The sequence below is a fragment of the Homo sapiens genome, chromosome X (assembly GCF_000001405.40).
Source record: "Homo sapiens chromosome X, GRCh38.p14 Primary Assembly".
NCBI classification, from domain to species: domain Eukaryota; kingdom Metazoa; phylum Chordata; class Mammalia; order Primates; family Hominidae; genus Homo; species Homo sapiens.
In genome coordinates, this window is record NC_000023.11 from 54,765,369 (window position 1) to 54,780,916 (window position 15,548).

Below are 15,548 nucleotides of genomic sequence, written 5' to 3' on the forward strand. Positions count from 1 at the left end.
TCTTCTAGGGTTTTTATGGTTTTAGGTCTAACGTTTAAATCTTTAATCCATCTTGAATTGATTTTTGTATAAGGTGTAAGGAAGGGATCCAGTTTCAGCTTTCTACATATGGCTAGCCAGTTTTCCCAGCACCATTTATTAAATAGGGAATCATTTCCCCATTGCTTATTTTTCTCAGGTTTGTCAAAGATCAGATAGTTGTAGGTAAGCGGCATTATTTCTTTTCTTTTTTTTTTTTTTTTTTTTGAGACGGAGTCTCGCTCTGTTGCCCAGGCCAGACTGCGGACTGCAGTGGTGCAATCTCGGCTCACTGCAAGCTCCGCTTCCTGGGTTCACGAAGCGGCGTTATTTCTGAGGGCTCTGTTCTGTTCCATTGATCTATATCTCTGTTTTGGTAACAGTACCATGCTGTTTTGGTTACTGTAGCCTTGTAGTATAGTTTGAAGTCAGGTAGTGTGATGCCTCCAGCTTTGTTCTTTTGGCTTAGGATTGACTTGGCAATGCGGGCTCTTTTTTGGTTCCATATGAACTTGAAAGTAGTTTATTCCAATTCTGTGAAGAAAGTCATTGGTAGATTGATGGGGATGGCATTGAATCTGTAAATTACCTTAGGCAGTATGGCCATTTTCACGATATTGATTCTTCCTACCCATGAGCATGGAATGTTCTTCCATTTGTTTGTATCCTCTTTTATATCCTTGAGCAGTGGTTTGTAGTTCTCCTTGAAGAGGTCCTTCACATCCCTTGTAAGTTGGATTCCTAGGTATTTCATTCTCTTTGAAGCAATTGTGAATGGGAGTTCACTCATGATTTGGCTCTCTGTCTGTTGTTGGTGTATAGGAATGCTTGTGATTTTTGTACATTGATTTTGTATCCTGAGACTTTGCTGAAGTTGCTTATCAGCTTAAGGAGATTTTGGGCTGAGATGATGGGGTTTTCTAGATAAACAATCATGTCGTCTGCAAACAGGGACAATTTGACTTCCTCTTTTCCTAATTGAATACCCTTTATTTCCTTCTCCTGCCTGATTGCCCTGGCCAGAACTTCCAACACTATGTTGAATAGGAGCAGTGAGAGAGGGCATCCCTGTCTTGTGCCAGTTTTCAAAGGGAATGCTTCCAGTTTTTGCCCATTCAGTATGATATTGGCTGTGGGTTTGTCATAGATAGCTCTTATTATTTTGAAATACGTCCCATCAATACCTAATTTATTGAGAGTTTTTAGCATGAAGGGTTGTTGAATTTTGTCAAAGGCTTTTTCTGCATCTATTGAGATAATCATGTGGTTTTTGTCTTTGGTTCTGTTTATATGCTGGATTACATTTATTGATTTGCGTATATTGAACCAGCCTTGCATCCCAGGGATGAAGCCCACTTGATCATGGTGTATAAGCTTTTTGATGTGCTGCTGGATTTGGTTTGCCAGTATTTTATTGAGGATTTTTGCATCAATGTTCATCAAGGATATTGGTCTAAAATTCTCTTTTTTGGTTGTGTCTCTGCCTGGCTTTGGTATCAGAATGATGCTGGCCTCATGAAATGAGTTAGGGAGGATTCCCTCTTTTTCTATTGATTGGAATAGTTTCAGAAGGAATGGTACCAGTTCCTCCTTGTACCTCTGGTAGAATTCGGCTATGAATCCATCTGGTCCTGGACTCTTTTTGGTTGGTAAACTATTGGTTATTGCCACAATTTCAGCTCCTGTTATTGGTCTATTCAGAGATTCAACTTCTTCCTGGTTTAGTCTTGGGAGAGTGTATGCGTCGAGGAATGTATCCATTTCTTCTAGATTTTCTAGTTTATTTGCGTAGAGGTGTTTGTAGTATTCTCTGATGGTAGTTTGTATTTCTGTGGGATCGGTGGTGATATCCCCTTTATCATTTTTTATTGTGTCTATTTGATTCTTCTCTCTTTTTTTCTTTATTAGTCTTGCTAGCGGTCTATCAGTTTTGTTGATCCTTTCAAAAAACCAGCTCCTGGATTCATTGATTTTTTGAAGGGTTTTTTTGTGTCTCTATTTCCTTCAGTTCTGCTCTGATTTTAGTTATTTCTTGCCTTCTGCTAGCTTTTGAATGTGTTTGCTCTTGCTTTTCTAGTTCTTTTAATTGTGATGTTAGGGTGTCCATTTTGGATCTTTCCTGCTTTCTCTTGTGGGCATTTAGTGCTATAAATTTCCCTCTACACACTGCTTTGAATGCGTCCCAGAGATTCTGGTATGTTGTGTCTTTGTTCTCGTTGGTTTCAAAGAACATCTTTATTTCTGCCTTCATTTCGTTATGCACCCAGTAGTCATTCAGGAGCAGGTTGTTCAGTTTCCATGTAGTTGAGCGGCTTTGAGTGAGATTCTTAATCCTGAGTTCTAGTTTGATTGCACTGTGGTCTGATAGATAGTTTGTTATAATTTCTGTTCTTTTACATTTGCTGAGGAGAGCTTTACTTCCAACTATGTGGTCAATTTTGGAATAGGTGTGGTGTGGTGCTGAAAAAAATGTATATTCTGTTGATTTGGGGTGGAGAGTTCTGTAGATGTCTATTAGGTCCGCTTGGTGCAGAGCTGAGTTCAATTCCTGGGTATCCTTGTTGACTTTCTGTCTCATTGATCTGTCTAATGTTGACAGTGGGGTGTTAAAATCTCCCATTATTAATGTGTGGGAGTCTAAGTCTCTTTGTAGGTCACTCAGGACATGCTTTATGAATCTGGGTGCTCCTGTATTGGGTGCATATATATTTAGGATAGTTAGCTCCTCTTGTTGAATTGATCCCTTTACCATTATGTAATGGCCTTCTTTGTCTCTTTTGATCTTTGTTGGTTTAAAGTCTGTTTTATCAGAGACTAGGATTGCAACCCCTGCCTTTTTTTGTTTTCCATTTGCTTGGTAGATCTTCCTCCATCCTTTTATTTTGAGCCTATGTGTGTCTCTGCACGTGAGATGGGTTTCCTGAATACAGCACACTGATGGGTCTTGACTCTTTATCCAACTTGCCAGTCTGTGTCTTTTAATTGGAGAATTTAGTCCATTTGCATTTAAAGTTAATATTGTTATGTGTGAATTTGATCCTGTCATTATGATGTTAGCTGGTGATTTTGCTCGTTAGTTGATGCAGTTTCTTCCTAGTCTCGATGGTCTTTACATTTTGGCATGATTTTGCAGCGGCTGGTACCGGTTGTTCCTTTCCATGTTTAGTGCTTCCTTCAGGAGCTCTTTTAGGGCAGGCCTGGTGGTGACAAAATCGGTCAGCATTTGCTTGTCTGTAAAGTATTTTATATGAAGCTTAGTTTGGCTGGATATGAAATTCTGGGTTGAAAATTCTTTTCTTTAAGAATGTTGAATATTGGCCCCCACTCTCTTCTGGCTTGTAGGGTTTCTGCCGAGAGATCCGCTGTTAGTCTGATGGGCTTCCCTTTGAGGGTAACCCGACCTTTCTCTCTGGCTGCCCTTAACATTTTTTCCTTCATTTCAACTTTGGTGAGTCTGACAATTATGTGTCTTGGAGTTGCTCTTCTCGAGGAGTATCTTTGTGGTGTTCTCTGTATTTCCTGAATCTGAACGTTGTCCTGCCTTGCTAGATTGGGGAAGTTCTCCTGGATAATATCCTGCAGAGTGTTTTCCAACTTGATTCCATTCTCCCCACCACTTTCAGGTACACCAATCAGACGTAGATTTGGTCTTTTCACATAGTCCCATATTTCTTGGAGGCTTTGCTCATTTCTTTTTATTCTTTTGTCTCTAAACTTCCCTTCTCGCTTCATTTCATTCATTTCATCTTCCATTGCTGATACCCTTTCTTCCAGTTGATCGCATCGGCTCCTGAGGCTTCTGCATTCTTCACGTAGTTCTCGAGCCTTGGTTTTCAGCTCCATCAGCTCCTTTAAGCACTTCTCTGTATTGGTTATTCTAGTTATACATTCTTCTAAATTTTTTTCAAAGTTTTCAACTTCTTTGCCTTTGGTTTGAATGTCCTCCCGTAGCTCAGAGTAATTTGATCGTCTGAAGCCTTCTTCTCTCAGCTCGTCAAAATCATTCTCCATCCAGCTTTGTTCCGTTGCTGGTGAGGAACTGCGTTCCTTTGGAGGAGGAGAGGCACTCTGCGTTTTAGAATTTCCAGTTTTTCTGTTCTGTTTTTTCCCCATCTTTGTGGTTTTATCTACTTTTGGTCTTTGATGATGGTGATGTACAGATGGGTTTTCAGTGTGGATGTCCTTTCTGTTTGTTAGTTTTCCTTCTAACAGACAGGACCCTCAGCTGCAGGTCTGTTGGAATGCCCTGCCGTGTGAGGTGTCAGTGTGCCCCTGCTGGGGGGTGCCTCCCAGTTAGGCTGCTCGGGGGTCAGGGGTCAGGGACCCACTTGAGGAGGCAGTCTGCCCGTTCTCAGATCTCCAGCTGCGTGCTGGGAGAACCACTGCTCTCTTCAAAGCTGTCAGACAGGGACATTTAAGTCTGCAGAGGTTACTGCTGTCTTTTTGTTTGTCTGTGCCCTGCCCCCAGAGGTGGAGCCTACAGAGGCAGGCAGGCCTCCTTGAGCTGTGGTGGGCTCCACCCAGTTCGAGCTTCCCGGCTGCTTTGTTTACCTAAGCAAGCCTGGGCAATGGCGGGCGCCCCTCCCCCAGCCTTGCTGCCGCCTTGCAGTTTGATCTCAGACTGCTGTGCTAGCAATCAGCGAGATTCCGTGGGCGTAGGACCCTCCGAGCCAGGTGTGGGATATAGTCTCATGGTGCGCCGTTTTTTAAGCCGGTCTGAAAAGCGCAATATTCGGGTGGGAGTGACCCGATTTTTCAGGTGCGTCCCTCACCCCTTTCTTTGACTCGGAAAGGGAACTCCCTGTCCCCTTGCGCTTCCCAGGTGAGGCAATGCCTCGCCCTGCTTCGGCTCGCGCATGGTGCGCGCACCCACTGGCCTGCGCCCACTGTCTGGCACTCCCTAGTGAGATGAACCCGGTACCTCAGATGGAAATGCAGAAATCACCCGTCTTATGCGTCGCTCACGCTGGGAGCTGTAGACCGGAGCTGTTCCTATTCGGCCATCTTGGCTCCTCCCCTTAAAATTCTTTACTCTTATGTCTTCCACTTATTTTTTGGCTTCTCTAGTTTTAACTGGGCATTTTACATGATCCCGTTTTATCTTATCTCTTAGCATACGCATTAGACTTAAAAAATTTTAGCAGTTCCCTTAGAGTTTGCAGTATACATTTACAACCAATCCAAATCCACTTTCAAATAACACTATACAGCTTTATGCATAGTGCAAGTACCTTGTAACAGAGTATTCCCAATTATTCCCTCCCATCCTATACAATATTACTCTCATTAATTTCACTTATTCCTAAGCTACATTCACTAAATACATTGTTATTTTGAAAAAATATTATCTGTTAGGTCAGTTAATAAGAAAACTATTTTATTTTACCTTCATTTATTCCTTCTCCAACACTTTTCCTTTCTTTATGTAGATCCAAGTATCTGAGATATACCATTTTCTTCCTCTATGTAGAACTTCTTTTAACATTTCTTGCAAAGCAGGTTTATTGGTGACAATTCCCAAAATTTTTGTTTGTTTGAGAAAGTCTTTATTTTTTTTTCACTTTGGAAGAATAATTTTGATGTATACAGAATTCTAGGCTGGTGGGTTTTTTCCTTTAACACTTGTAATATTTCACTCCACTTTCTTCTTGCTCCCATGGTTTCTGAAGAAAAGTCTGATATAGTTTATATCCTTGCTCCTCTATAGGTAAGGTACATTTTCCTCTGGCTTTTTAAAAGATTTTTCTGCTGTCTGAATATGATATGCCTAGGTGTAGATTGTTTAGTATTTATCCTGCTTTGTGTTCTCCTAAGCTTCTTAGACCTGAGGTTTGGTGTGCATAATTTATTTTGGAAAATTTGTATCTATTATTACTTCAAGTATTTCTTCTGTTCCTTTCTCTCTTTCTTCTCCTTCTATTATTTCCATGATGCATATGTAACACTTTTAAAATTGTTCCACAATTCTTGGATATTCTAGGGTGTTTCTTAAAATTCTTTTTATTTTTGTTTTTTAGCTTCAGGAATTTCTATGAACGTATCTTCAAGCTCATTGGTTCTTTACCCAACCATGTCCAGTCTACTGATGAGTGAATCAAAGGGATTCTTCATTCCTGTTGCAGTATTTCTGATATCCAGCATTTCCTTTTTATTTTCCTAGGGTTTTCATGTCTCTGCTTACATTACCATGTGTTGTCCTTATATGTGGTGCACTCTATCCATTAGTGCCCACAGCATATTAATCATGGGTTTTTAAATTCTTGGTTTGACCCATTAAAAAATTGGCAAAGGACATGAACAGATACTTCTGAAAAGAAGACATACATGTAGACAACAAGCATACGAAAAAAATGCTTAACATCACTGATCATTAGAGAAATGGAAATCAAAACCACAATGAGATACCATCTTACACCAGTCAGAATGGCTATTATTAAATAGTTAAAAAAAAACAACAACAACAGATGCTGGCAAGGTTGTGGAGAAAAGGGAACGCTTATACACTGTTGGTGGGAGTGTAAATTAGTACAACCATTGTGGAAGACAGTGTGGCAATTCCTCAAAGATCTAAAAACAGAAATACCGTTTGACCCAGCAAACTCATTACTGGGTATATACCCAAAGGAATGTAAGTCGTTCTACCATAAAGACTCATGCACATGTATGTTCATTGCAGCACAATTCACAATAGCAAAGACATGGAATCAACCTAAATGCTCATCAATAGTGGACTGGATAAAGAAAATGTGGTACATATACACCATGAAATACTATGCAGCCATAAAAAAGAATGAAATCCTGTCCTTTGCAGGAACAGGGATGGGAACTGGAGGCAATCATCCTAAGTGAATTAATGCAAGAGCAGAAAACCAATGCTACATATTCTCACTTATCAGTGGGAGCTAAACATTGAACACACATGTACACAAAGAAGGGGACAAGAGACACTGGGGCCTACTTGAGGGTGGAAGTTCGGAGAAGAGTGAAGATTGAAAAATGATGTATTACATACTGTGCTTATTACCTGGGTGACAAAATAATCTGTACACCAAAAACCTGCAATACTAAATTTACCCATGTAACAAACCTGCTCATGTATCCACTGAACCTAAAATAAAAGTTGGAAAAAAAATTTCAATCAAAAATAAAATTGTTTGATAATTTCGACATATCTGACATATTGAAGTCTGGCTGTGATGTTTGTTTACTCTCTTCAGACAGTGTTTTTCTCCTTTTAGCATGCCTTCTCATTTTAGGTTGAAAGCCAGACGTGATGTATCAGGTAAAAGGAAATAAACTAAAAGGCATTTAGTGTGGGGTTTTAAGTTTATCTGGCTATGAGTTAGGTAATGTTTCTTGTTTGGGGCAGTTTTAGTTGTCAGAGGCTAAAACTACTATTTTTTTGACAGGGTCTTGCTGTGTTGCCCCAGCTTGAGAGCAGTGGTGTGATCTTGGTTCACTGCAAGCTCCACTCGCTGGGCTCAAGCCATTTTCCAAATGCAGCCTCCTGAGTAGCTGGGACTACAGGTGCGCACCACCACACCTGGCTAATTTTTGTATTTTTAGTAGAGACAGGGTTTTGCCATGTTGCCCAGGCTGGTCTCAAACTCCTGGGCTCAAGTGATCCACCTACCTCAGCTCCCCTTCTAGTGTCTGTATTTTTGTTGCTTCTGTTGTCTTTGGTTTTCCCTAGGAACATTTTCTTCAATAGGGTTTGGGCTTGTAGTTCTATCAGCTGTAACTTTCCGTTATTGCCGAGGAGCCCAGTTGATGTGGTGATAATGTGTGGAGTGAGAGGAAGCATTCTATACTCTTATGAGGAGGTCTCAATCTTTTAGTGAATTGGTGTCCCTGAGATAGAAACTTCACAAGGACTTCTGAGATTTTTACCCCTCCTCAGTGAGACAAGAAGGCTAGAAAGGGCTGGATTTGGGGAGATCCCTCCCCCTACACTGGGGCTGGGGAGCTGGCTTGGGGTATTACCCATTTTTCCCCAGGTTGCTCAACTCTGGTAAAACAAACTCAGCCTTAGGTCCCAAAGGCTCTGTGATTGAAAGATTAAGGAGCAAAGCTATACAACTGCAAGACACCGGTACAAAAAGCTCCAGGGTATTATGGTATGAAATGCTGCCTGCAGAACTTTATGGATTCAGGGACTAAAGTCAAAGCCTGCTTGGTCTACGGCCTCAGAACTCTGACCCATGGGCACAGTGGTAGAAGTGCAACAAGATTAAAATCGATATGACTCCTGACTCTATGGTTTCTAATTCTATAATGCTAGTACTCTATACTATTAGGCCTTTAAAGTAAAAAAAAAAAAAATTACAAAGACCCAAAACCTTGTGGCCTCAGGAAGACTCAGAGTCTTTCTCACCTAAGGTTTTCTTGCTTTTGGATTCTAGGATCCCAGGGTGCTCTAGCTTGAGGGTCCTATATGACCCTGGGCTTTCGTGGTTGAGGGTCTCAATGGTTTCACAGTGACCAATGTGTCAATGTTCTTAGGACTCTGTGGCTCCAGGTCCACAGGCTCCTGTTAGGTAAGATACCAGGACCCTAGGGTAGGCCCAAGCCTGTAAGACTCAAGGGTCATGGGATGGTGGAATCTCTTCTCCCAGGGCCCCATTGTTACCACGCTCTCTGCTTTCTGGGTCTTCTGATACTAGGACTAAGAAAGGTTTCCAGGATCCTTGTTACCTGTTCCATCTTGGTACCAAACATGGAGCTGCTTACGTCAATAACAAAAACCACATTCTTCTCCATAGGTGGAAGGCCTCTGGGGGCAAAGTAGTGAATGAAATAGTCATCGTAAATCTGGACCAAAAAAAAAAAAAAAAAAGTAGAACCAAGAAGAACAGTGAAAGCCAATCTAAATCAGGTCCCCTCTTATTTTCCTGCATAACACTGTGCTTTGTTCCCCAGGACTTCTCACTGTTTCTAAACAGGCATGTGTGTGACTGTTTGCTCACTGTCCATCTCCTTCACTAGAACCGTGTCTCAGCTCTTCAGACCTTCATCCCGGGGCCTGCCCCAGAGCTGTGGAGGGAATGAGACTGGCTTGTAGCCCAGGACTCCAAGGATCAGGATCTCTGTAATATGTGAGTTCCTGTCTGTGAGAGAGTTGGGCTTGCACAGCCTTGAAGGTCCCTAGGGATATTTTGCCTGGGCTGCAGGAACTCCAAGTATTGTTTTAACCTCCCTGTATAGAGTGAGCCTGGGGCCCAGCTCTTTGCTGCCAGGGGCTGGGAGTTGCAGGGCCTCCCTCTCCTCCTAAAACCTCCTTTCTGCTGTTGCTGGGCAGAGCAGGGAGAGGAGGAGGGAACCTAAGCTGAGTGAGCTGTTTATTCAGAGGGGATTGGTTACACCAGGTACAGATGCCTTGGGCTGTCCTGGATGTGATTGGCTGCTGACTCCCCTCCCCCACTCCATTCCTCCCTCTGCAGAGCCTCGGGGCTGGGACAGCTGAGGGAAGGGGAGGGGAGGGGGGCTGGGAGGGCCCCTCAGGACCAGTCTCAGCTCAGCTCAGGGATGTCTGTGCTGGCTGAGGGTCTGTGCTACCCTGAAGCTGAAGCAGGCTCTGCCCAGGGCCACAGGCTTTTGCTCCTCTCTGCCCTTCAGTCACTCTCTGACCATTAGGCTGTACACTACCTCTTCCCTCTGAAGAGGAAAGAGGAGATGGGAAGACATCTGCTCTTCCCCCTCCACCCCAGCCTTTGAATTAATTCACATGTGCAATTGCAGCCTCTGTCTCTGCTAATCCTGGCACTCTGGTACAGTTCAAAAAGGCCTGTGTCACCCACATTACAACTGCCCAAGCCAACAGCAGAACCCAGTGGCCTCTGCACACCTCCCATACCTGGGCCGGTGAGTGCTTCTGGGAAAATCATGCTTATCTTTCCCCGATCCCATGCCCACCAGGGCCCCCACTTCCTATCACATAACTCAAGGGCAGGACCTTGCTCACCAACCTCTCCCAGTCACTTTAGCAGTCATTCCATCCTACCCACCTGACTCAGGAAGAGAATTAAGAGCATGGAGCCAGGGACACTTTGATTGCCCACCCCACCCTTCTAGAGGGTCCACATCACCATAAACCTCCTCCCTCAGCCTAAGGAAAGGAGGTCCTGCCTTGGACCCCATGCACTCCAAGTGCCCAGCCCCTCCAGTACTCCTCAGGTCCCCTCTCTCTAACTCCATTTAACATGTACCCCACTGGGTCTTCTTGAAATATAGAATTTTATTGTCTTTTCCATGCACTAAGACTAGCTCTTGTCCCCAGTCCACTCCCAAACTTCTCTCTAGCCTCTTTTTTCCCTGAAGCATCACAGGCTGAGAAAGTGGGCACCCTCAATGGGCTCAAGTGCAGATCACTCCTGGGGACCACCACAGACTGGCTACTGTGCCCACCCCGCATAGACACTTCCCTTGCTAAAGGCAACTGTGACTAACTTGCCTCCAAACTCAATGGCTGGAAGATGGGTGAAGCAAGATGGTGGAATAAAAGCTCCACTGATCGTCATCCCCCTAGGAAGGACACCAATTTAACAACCATCTACACACAAATAAGCACCTTCAAAAGAACCAAAAGCTCAGTACCTGGTTTTAACTTCATATCAATGAAAGAGGCACTGAAGTGGTAGAAAGAACAGTCTTGAATTGCCAACACCACGCCTACCCCACCCTCCAACTCTGCCCCCAGCAGCTGAGGCACGGTGGGCAAGAGCATTTCTGTGTGTTGGGGGAGGGAGAGTGCAGCTATTGTGAGGCATTGACCTCAGTGTTGCCCTCTTAGAGGAGTAAAAAAAAAAAACTGAACCAAACTCGGCTGATGCCTGCATACGGAGGGAGCATTCAAAACAGCCCTAGCTACACGTGAATTACCCATGTCAGCATGTCAGCTGTTGGCACTTGAGTTCCTGCAAGCCTCACCGCCATGGACTAAAGTGCTCTAGGGCTCTAAATAAACTTGAAAGACAGCCTAGACACAAGGACTGCAACTCCTAGTAGGGGCCTAGTGCTGAACTGGGCCCAGAGACAGTGGACTTAGGGGGCACACAACCTACCGAGATAGCAGCTAGGGCAGCTAAGTGAGTGCTAGCATCACCCCTCCTCTAACCCCAGGCTCCACAGCTTGTGGCTCCAAAAGAGACCCCTTCATTCTGCTTGAAGACTGGAGAGGGAAGAGTGGAAAAGACGTTGTCTTGCATCTTGTATACCAGCTCAGCTGCAGCAGGATAGGGCACCAGTAAGAGTCGCGAGGCCCCCTTTCCAGGCCCTAACTCCCAAACCACATTTCTAGACACACCCTGGGCCAGAAGGAAACCTGCTGCCTTGAAGGGAAGGACCCAGTTCTTGCTGCATTCTTCACCTGCTAAATGAAGAGCCCTTGGGCCCTGAATAACCAGCAATAATGCCCAGGTACTACATTGAGGGCCTTGGGTGAGACTCTGAGACTTGCTGGCTTTAGGTGATGCACATTCCAAGCTGCGGTGGCTATTGGGAGAGTGCTTATGTTTTACAAAAGTAGAGGAGAAAGTAAATTGGACACTGTCTTGAAGCTTAAGTACCAGCTTGGCCACAAGGGTATAGAGCACCAAGCAGGCTCTTGAGGTCCTAGATTCTAGGCATGGGCTCTTGGATGGCCTAGAATCCAACTTCCGGGCCTGCCCTAGGCCAGAGAAGAGCCTACTGCCCTGAAAGGTGAGGCTAAGGATAGGCAGCGTATACCACAAGCTGACTGAAGAACCTTTGGGCCTTAAGGGAAAATCGGTGGTTGTCTGTCAGTACTCCTTGTGAGCCTGTGGTGGCAATGGCCATGAGGTGAGGCTCTTCTGCCTTTGAAAAGGGAAAGGCAGAGTGAGAGGAAGTGTATCTTGTGGTTTGACTGCCAGTTTACCAGCAGGACAATAGAACACCAGGTAGAATTCTAAGGAGTTTGACTCTAGTCTCTGGCTCCTGGATGGCACCTCTGGATCCACCTAGGGCCTGAAGGAACTCACTATCCCAAAGTGAAGGACACAGGCCTGGTTGTTTTTGACACTTTCTGATTGTACAGCCCCAGGGTCTTGAGTGAACATAGGCGGAAGCCAGGATGTGGTTACAGCAGGCTTTGGGTGAGACCCAGTACTGTGCTGGCTTCAAGTCTGACCCAACGCAGTCATAGGTGGTGGCCACAGGAGTGCTTGTGTCAATACACCCCCTGCTTCAGGTGGCTCACAACAGAGAGAGAGAGAGAGAGACTCTGTTTGGGAGTAAGTAAGGAAAGCGAATTAGTCTGCCTGGTAATGGAAAGAATTCTCCCAGATATTGTCCAAGACCATCAAGACAATACTTCTATGAGTCTGCAAGAACCACAGCATTACGAGGCTTGGGGTGACCCCTAAAGCAGATGCAGCTTAGATCACAACATGTATGTACATTTGAATATCTGGAAAGTCTTTCCAAGAAGGACAGGTACAAGCAAGCTCAGACTGTGAAGACTATAATAAATACTTAACTCTTCAATGTCCAGACACAGAAGAACATCTAAAAGTATCATGACAATCCAGGAAAATATATGACATTACCAAATAAACTAAATAAGTCACCAGGGACCAATTCTGAAGAAATAGAGATATGTGACCTTTCAGACACAGAATTCAAAATAGCTGTGTTGAGGAAACTCAAAGAAATTTGAGATAACACAGAGAAGGCATTCAGAATTCTATCAGATGAAAGTAACAAAGAGATTGCAATGAGATTGCAATAATTTAAAAGAATCAAGCAGAAATTCTGGAAAATGCAATTGACATACTGAAGAATGCACCAGAGTCTTTTTTTTTTTTTTTTTTTGACAGAGTCTCCCTCCGTCACCCAGGCTGGAGTGCAGTGGCACGATGTTGGCTCACTACAACCTCTGCCTCCTGGGTTCAAGCGATTCTCCCGCCTCAGCCTCCCGAGTAGCTGGGATTACAGGCATGCACCACCATGCCCGGCTAATTTTTGTATTTTTAGTAGAGACAAGGTTTCACTATGTTGTCCAGGCTGGTCTCAAAGTCCTGACTTCAAGTGGTCCACCCGTCTCAGCATCCCAAAGTGCTGGGTTTAAAGGCATGAGCCACTGCACCCGGCCTGCACCTGAGTTTTTTAAAAGCAGAATTGTTCAACCAGAAAAAACAATTAGTGAATTACAAGATAGGCTATTTGAAAATAAACAGTAAGAAGAGACAAAAGTAAAAAGAATAAGAAGCAATGAAGCATGCCTACATGATCTAGAAAATAGCCACAGATAGGCAAATCTAAGAGTTAGTGGCCCTAATGAGGAGATAGAGAAAGAGATAGGGGTAGAAAGTTTATTCAGAGGGATAATAACAGAGAACTTTCCAAACTGAGAGAAAGATATCAATATCCAGATACAAGAAGCTACCAGAACACCAAGCAGATTTTACCCAAAAAAGACTACTTTGAGGAATTTTATAATCAAACTCCCAAAGGACAAGGATAAAGAAAGGATCCTAAAAGCAGCAAGAGAAGAGAAACAAATAACAGACATCTCCAATATTTCTGTCAGCAGACTTTTCAGTGGAAACCTTTAAGGCTGAGAGAGTGTCATGATGTATTTAAAATGCTGAAGGAAAAAACTACTTTTACCCTAGAATAGTATATCTGGAGAAAATATCCCTCAAACGTGAAAGAGAAATAAAGAGTTTCCCAGACAAAAAAGAGCTGAGGGATTTCATCATTGCTAGACCTGTCCTACAAGAAATGCTAAAGGGAGTACTTGAATCAGACAGTAAAGGATGTTACTGAGCAATAAATAATCATCTGAAGGTACAAAACTTACTGGCAATAGTAAGTACACAGAAAAACACAAAATATTATAACACTGTAACAGTGGTGTATAAACCACTCTCATGCTTAAGTAGAAATACTGAATGATGACCTAATCAAAAGTACTAACTAAACAACTTTTCAAGACATAGTACAAGAAGTTACAAATAGAAACAACAAAGAAATAAAAAGCAAGAGGATGAAGTTAAGGCATAGAGTTTTTATTAGTTTTCTTTTTGTTTGTTTGTTAGTGCAAACAGTGTTAAGTTGTTATCAGCTTAAAATAATGATTAATAAGATAGTATTTACAGGCCTCATGGTAACCTCAAAACAAAAAACATACAACAGATACACAGAAAATAAAAAAGTAAGAAACTAAATCATATTACCAAAGAAAATAATCTTGCTAAAAGGAAGACAGGAAGGAAAAAAAAGGATGAGCAGACCACAAAAAGTAGGAAAACCAATAACAAAATGGCAGGAGTAAGTCCTTACTTGTCAATAATCACATCGAATGTAAATGGGCTTAACTCTCCAATCAAAAGACATAGAGTGACTGAATGGATTAAAAAAAATAAGACCCACTGATCTGTTGCCTATAAGAAAAACATTTCATCTATAAGACACACATAGACTACAAATAAAGAGATGGAAGATGATATTCCATGCCAGTGGAAACAAACAAAAAAGATGAGGAGGAGCCATACAGAGAAAAAATCTATAAGAAGAGACAAAGAAGGTAGCAATATAATGATAAAGGGGTCGATTTAGCAAGAGGATGTAACAATTGTGAAAATATATGTACCCAACACTGGAGAACCAAGATATATAAGGTAAATATTATTAGAGCTAAAGGGAGAGATAGACTCCAACATGATAATCGCTAGAGTCCTCAAGACCCCACATTTGGCACTGGACATCTTCCAGGCAGAAAATCAACAAGGAAACATCAGACTTAATCTGCACTATAGATCAGAAACCTAATAGATATTTATAGAACATTTCATCCAATGGCTGCAGAATATGCATTCTTTTCTTCAGCACATGGTTCATTCTCAAAGACAGACGATATATCAGGTCACAAAGCAAGACTCAAAATTCAAAACAATTGAAATACCATCAAGCATCTTCTCTGACCACAATGGAATAACACTAAAAATCAATAACAAAAGGAACTTTGGAAGATATAGAAATACATGGAAATTAAACAACATGCTCCTGAATGAACAGTGGGTCAATGAAGAAATTCAGAAAGAAATTAAAAAATTTCTCAAAACAGATGACAATGTAAAGACAACATGCCAAAACCTATGAGATACAGCAAAAGCAGTTCTCAGAGGGAACTTTATAGCTGTAAGTGCCTACATCAAATAAGAAGAAAAATGTAAACAACATAATGATGCATCTTAAGGAACTAGAAAAGCAAGAGCAAACCAAACCCTAAATTAGTAGAAGGAAACAACTAATAAAGATTAGAGCACAAATAAAGAAATTGAAGTGACGAAAACAATAAAAAGATCAAGGAAACAAAAAGAGTTTTTTTTTTAAGTTTAACAAAATTGACAAACCTTTACCCCGACTAGTTAAAAAAAGAGAAGATCCAAATAAATAAAATCAGATGAGAAAGTAGACATTACAAAATGATACTGCAGAAATTCAAAGGATCATTAATGCCTACTATGAGCAATTATATGCCAATAAGTTAGAAAATCTAGAAGAGGCTA

At 42.4% G+C, this 15,548-nt stretch overlaps 1 protein-coding gene across 1 annotated transcript in view; it reads right to left on the reverse strand.

Annotated features, from left to right (window-relative positions):
• ITIH6 (inter-alpha-trypsin inhibitor heavy chain family member 6) overlaps positions 1 to 15,548 on the reverse strand; it is a 49,338-nt gene that overhangs the window by 16,451 nt on the left and 17,339 nt on the right. The window contains exon 6 of the mRNA NM_198510.3: positions 8,713 to 8,829. Coding sequence (NP_940912.1) covers positions 8,713 to 8,829 — 117 coding nt within the window. The remainder of the gene's footprint in view (positions 1 to 8,712; positions 8,830 to 15,548) is intronic.